Source organism: Homo sapiens, chromosome 6 (assembly GCF_000001405.40).
Source record: "Homo sapiens chromosome 6, GRCh38.p14 Primary Assembly".
NCBI classification, from domain to species: Eukaryota; Metazoa; Chordata; class Mammalia; order Primates; family Hominidae; genus Homo; species Homo sapiens.
In genome coordinates this window covers 163,588,741-163,594,774 of record NC_000006.12, presented here as the reverse complement: position 1 = coordinate 163,594,774, position 6,034 = coordinate 163,588,741, and the positions used below count along the sequence as shown (strand labels likewise).

The following is a 6,034-nucleotide window of genomic DNA, read 5'->3' as shown; positions in this document are numbered from 1 at the left end:
GCTCTGCCTCCCGGGTTCACACCATTCTCCTGCCTCAGCCTCCCGAGTAGCTGGGACTACAGGCGCCCACCACCACACCTGGCTAATTTTTTGTATTTTTAGTAGAGACGGGGTTTCACTGTGTTAGCCAGGATGGTCTTGATCTCCTGAACTCGTGATCTGCCCGCCTCGGCCTCCCAAAGTGCTGGGATTACAGGCGTGAGCCACTGCACCCGGCCGATTCAATATCTTAATTCCATTCCCCCCTGTCTAATGTATGCACTATTATTGGGTATTTAATTTTATCTTGCTTTTGGTAAACCCCCAAATATTTTTTATACGACCAAAATATATTTACAACTGTTTGTGATCTTTACTTCTGTTTGCACATCAGATGTCTCATCAAGGATCACTTGTCTGAACAACATTATTTTCCTTCTTTTTTTTTTTTTTTTTGAGACGGAGTCTCGCTCTGTCGCCCAGGCTGGAGTGCAGTGGCGCGATCTCGGCTCACTGCAAGCTCCGCTTCCCGGGTTCACGCCATTCTCCTGCCGCAGCCTCCCGAGTAGCTGGGACTACAGGCGCCCGCCACCACTCCCGGCTAATTTTTTGTATTTTTAGTAGAGACGGGGTTTCACCGTGTTAGCCAGGATGGTCTCGATCTCCTGACCTCGTGATCCGCCCGCCTCGGCCTCCCAAAGTGCTGGGATTACAGGCGTGAGCCACCGCGCCCGGCCCCTTTTTTTTTTTTTTTTTTTGAGACGGAGTCTTGCTCAGTCGCCCAGACTGGAGTGCAGTGGCGTGACCTCGGCTCACTGCAAGCTCCGCCTCCCGGGTTCACGCCATTCTCCTGCCTCAGCCTCTCAAGTAGCTGGGACTACAGGCGCCCGCCACCACGCCCCGGCTAATTTTTTGTATTTTTAGTAGAGGCGGGGTTTCACCGTGTTAGCCAGGAAGGTCTCAATCTCCTGACCTCAGGATCCGCCCACCTCGGCCTCCCAAAGTGCTGGGATTACAGGCTTGAGCCACCGCGCCCGGCCCATTATTTTCTTTAGCATGGGTCTGTTGGCAAGCTCTCTTACTTTTGGTTCATCTGAAAATGTATTTTTTAGGTATTCTTGAAATAGTTTGGTTTATTATAACATTTAGTTTGATAGTCTAGATGTGGATTTCCTTTTATTCACTGATCTTCTTGAAACCATATTTGGTGTTTTTCATTAGTTCTGGAAACTTCTCAGTCACTGTCTACTTATTGGCTTTGCCTAATGATTTCTTTTTCCTTCCAGAACCCTGACTAGGTGTATATCGGAAGTTAGTCTATCCTCATATTTTTAAATCTCTCATTCATGTTGTCTACCTATTTATCTGTGCTACATCTGGACAATTCTTTCTTTAGCTGTATCTAATCTTCCACAAAACCCATACATTGGGATTTTCCTTTCAATTCTTACATTTTTCATTAATAGACATTCTGTTTGTGTTATTTATATGTGTTTTTTTAATAGTTTCTTGTTCTCCATACATATTTTCAAGCTTGTCTTTTATTTCATTAAATTTATTAAACACAGTAATTTTATATCGGTGTCTGATACTTCTCATAATTGAAATCTTTGTGACTCTACTTCTGCTGAATCTATATATCTGCTTCTGTATCTGCTTCTGTATCTGTATCTGTATCTGTATCTGTAGTCATATCCACACACATTCTAGTTTTCACTCATGGTGCCTTATTTCCTTGTTGTTTGTTGATTCACTCTGATTGCCAGATGCCATTTGTCCTGAAACTGTATTTGTTAATATATTCCGAGGCCCGGGATGAAGAAGGATTTTTTTCCAGAGCAGATTTGTGTTTGTTTCTGAAAGGTGTTAGTAAGGTACCTCCTTAAATCTTTGGCTTGAGATTATTTTTTAGTCCAGCAAGGTGGTTTGAATTCTGGCTACTAATTGGTATAAAGGCAGCTGTGGTTAAACTCTTCATTGTTTGCTTTCTTTTTTCTCCCTCTACCATTCGGACTGAAGGCTGCAAACAGGCACTTTCCTGGCAGTCCTTTGTGTATCTCTGTGGGTGGGCAAGTCCCTTCTAATTTGCTATTATTCTGAGGAGTCCCAGTGCTATGGGGTGAAGGCCTCTTACTGGAACCCCACCTTGGCTTGACCCCAGGTATTGACTACTGTATTCCGTGCCTCAAAAAATGATAAAAATTGAAGCACGCTACATAGGTTGGCTAATACCTCCTTAGCAAAAACCAGTCTCAGTACCACAGTTATTCCTCTGCGTTCATGACTTCATCTAAATTTTAGCCAGAGGATTTCTTACTCTTTTGTTAATGCTTTTTTAAAAACCGACAATATATTTTATCCAACAAAACTGACAATATATTTTATCCCACATTTTTTGCTGTTTTCAATGGGAACATATTCTGGGTACCCAGTGTGCCATGTTACTCTAAACAGAAGCCACTCATTCATTTTTAGAACAAACATTTATTAATGACCTTCGAAGTGTCAGAACCCATTCTGAGGGCTGAGACATGAAGATGAAATAACCCACAGCTCCCATCTCGAAGACGTCATGACAAGGTAGGGGAGAGAGACATGAGGACAGGCAACAGAGGAGTAAGAAAAGTGCTGCAAACATTCCCAGAGTGCTTCATTGGAGCCATGAGGTACTTGAAGAGGCAACTAACCCATTTGGCAGTTCAGACAAGACTTTCCAATTAAGTGCCGAAAAACAAGGATCAGTTAGGCAGGCAAAAAGAGGGAGCAAACAGTGGTTTTGGGAGGAATTAGGTGACATGCTGAAAGCCTGGGGGTAGAAAAGAATGTTTGTGGCCGGGCGGGCTCACGCCTGTAATCCTAGCACTTTGGGAGGCCGAGGTGGGTGGATCACGAGGTCAGGAGTTCGAGACCAGCCTGACCAACGTGGTGAAACCCCGTCTCTACTAAAAATACAAAAATTAACCAGGCGTGGTGGCGCGCGCCTGTAATCCCAGCTACTCGGGAGGCTGAGGCAGGACCCAGGAGGTGGAGGTTGCAGTGAGCTGATATCGTGCCACTGCACTCCAGCCTGGGTGACAGAGTGAGACTCTGTCTCAAAAAAAAAAAAATTTTTTTTTCTTTAACAAATTATTAGAATTGATATATGGAAAGGATTCTGTTTAACTTACCTATGAAAATACCATCCTGGCCAACAATGTTGAAACCCCATCTCTACTAAATATACAAAATTAGCCGGGCATGGTGGCGGCGCCTGCAGTCCCAGCTACTCGGGAGGCTGAGGTAGGAGAATAGCGTGAACCCGGGAGGCAGAGCTTGCAGTGAGCCGAGATCGCGCCACTGCACTCCAGCCTGGGCGACAGATCAAGACTTCGGCTGCAACTCAAAAAAAAAAGTTTGTGCAACAATAATTTATACACGACTCGAGCTTAGAGGGTGAAGGGCAGGGTAGGTGGGGAGAGATGACGACGGAGAGACAGGCAGGGAGGATGTTGGGGGCGTTGCCGGGATTCTCTGGTAAAATGGCCGTGTCTCCGGTTGATTGAAGCCCTCCAAGAGTATGTTTTGGGGGGCAATGATAGGAACAGTTGGTCTCTGTGGAGTGCTTTTGCTATGTCGAGGTGATTTGGAGAAGAGCATACCATCACATAAAGGCGGGGCGTTTGGGGAGATGCGCAGGGCAGGAGTGGCTGGAGAAGTCGGAATAGAGGGGACTATAGAGGGGATGGGTGGACAAGGCGCCGCTGAAGGGCCTTTGTGGAAAAAGAGTGTGTTCCCCAGGACCATCTGGAAGAACGCCGCTTCAAGCACAGGACGGCACCTTCAGTACCAACGTTTGCCCCCGACGGGGCTGGGGAAATGGCATGTTGGGGCCTTGCAGGAAGGAGGATCATCCAAAACACAGGCTCTTTCTAGGCTCCAGACTCAAAAAGAAAGCAGAGGCGGGAGTGGGAAGGCCCAGGCCTAAGCCCTGATGAGTCTGGCGGGGATTCCACCGTGTGAAGGAGCAGCTGAGGCTGCAGGAAGTAGAGCCCCGGGGGCTGTGGAGATTCCAGGCTGCGCTGGTGGAGAACAGGGAGGCCCAAAGGCCAACAACAGGGAAAACCACAGTGTGTCCGGAGTTGGTTCCTGCCAGTGGATTCGTGGTGGTGCTGACTTCAAGAACGGAGTCGCCGACCTTCCCGGTGAGTGTTACAGCTCTCAAAGATGGCACGGACCCAAAGAGTAAGCGGTAGCAAGATTTACTGTGAAGAGTGAAAGGCTTTCGAAGAGAACCCTAGCGGCTTACTGCCGCCGGTCGAGGTGGCCAGCTTTTATTTCCTTATTGTCCCCGCCCATGTTTGGTTTCTGTCCTATCAGAGTGCCCTTTCTTTCAATCCTCCCTGCGATTGGCTACTTTTAGAATCCTGCTGATTGGTGCGTTTTACAGAGCACTGATTGGTGTGTTTTAGTCTAATTAGTGTGTTTTATGCTGATTGGTGCGTTTTACAATCCTCTTGTAAGACAGGAAAGTTCCTGATTGGTGCATTTTACAATCCTCTTGTAAGACAGAAAAGTTCCCCAAGTCCCCACTCAACCCAGGAAGTCCAGCTGGCCTCACCTCTCAACAGAGCAGAGGGAGGGCAGCTGGGATGCGGGGGCAAGGCTGACTTCCAGGGTTCCACCTTGGCCAGCGAATGGAAGGTGAGGGGGGAAATAGCTGAGGGGAAGGGAGTCTAGATGGAGAGACAGCTCAGTGCTGGGCTTGTTGGGTTCAACCATTTTTGGAGCTTTGAGGGCACACCCACTACAGGGGAGGAGAAGATATTAAATTTAATTCTAAATTGTGGCAAGAACGTCACATGGAAACAGCCTCTGGTGACGCACCTGGCAATTGTGACTGTAGTGATCTCTTTTCCAGCCTACGTTCATGCCGGCTTCAGACTGAAGCTCATTCCTTTCTTGTCCCTGAGGTTTCTTCACGACAAGCAGTCCTTTAACTGCATGAATGCTTTTAAATCCTGGGTCATGCAAAGACTTCCTAAGATCCTGAGTAAAACATGAGGTTGCCCAGCACAACTCCGTGGCTGATTTTCAATAGTTTTCTCAGCTTTATTCTCAACTCAATTTTGTTATTCTAGTCAGCTGACCTATGGCATGACTATCACACCTCCATTATTTTAGAAATGGGATTTCCAACCTCAGCACGTCATTCATCTGAACAACTTCCACCATGGTTTCCTGTTCATACAAGCAGCCCTCCTCCACACCGCAATTCCACTCCTGTGCCAATTCTTCTTTTAGAGTCAGGAGCCCAGAAAGCTTCTACAATGCCAATTACAAGGCTCTTTGTGACAAGCATTCTAATCTACTCAAACAAAAAAATGCGTATTTATAGCATTCGTTCAACTAAAAAAGTATACTATATAAAGCCCAAGAATGTAAGTTTACGTGTAAAAAAACTGACACCAGCAATTTTACCTCCTCCTTATTTTCCTCCAGCTGCCCAGTTAGGAGGATTGTTTGTTTGGTCTATTCATCTTCCCAGTCTTCTCACTGAATTCTCCTCTGACTCTCCCAGGGGCCAAATCTCAATTCTTGTCTTCTGTTCACCCTTACTCCTTGGCTCTCTCCTCATCCTTACTCCTTTCTCTTCTGTTAAAGAAGCAGGCCCATGTGCAATTCCAGGGAGTATTATTGTTAGTACTACATTTTCTGTCACATTCTTCAGAGGCGCTAGACTCCTTGCAAAGCAAAACTGTGGGCACAAGGCAACCTAAGACCTAATCCCTTCAACAGGGTCTTGGTGCCCTGTGTGCGGTCGCCCCCGAAACCAAGTCAATGGTGCTTTCAAAGACTACAGCCAGCCTCTGTCTGCATCCCGGCCTGCGCCCCGGGGAAATAGTAAAGCAAAAGGTGCCTTACAATAAGGGGGTGAGGAAAAGCCTGCCAAGCGGGTGGCGTTCAGATGAGATTGCTTACTCTACATGCGCCCTCAATTTAAAGGGACGAGTGGCCCGCCAAGCCTTCTAAGTCATCGTGCCCATTTCTCAAGAGAGGGCTCTCTGTGGGCCGCACA

The 6,034-nt window shown here is 46.9% G+C and overlaps 1 annotated feature.

Moving 5' to 3' along the window:
* Window positions 1,755-2,303: an enhancer, noted in NCBI's record as "OCT4-NANOG hESC enhancer chr6:164013504-164014052 (GRCh37/hg19 assembly coordinates)". NCBI's record gives its function as "activates a minimal SCP1, AML or CMV promoter by ChIP-STARR-seq in primed H9 embryonic stem cells {active_cell/tissue: H9 hESC(primed)}" and the evidence as "EXISTENCE:reporter gene assay evidence [ECO:0000049][PMID:30033119]".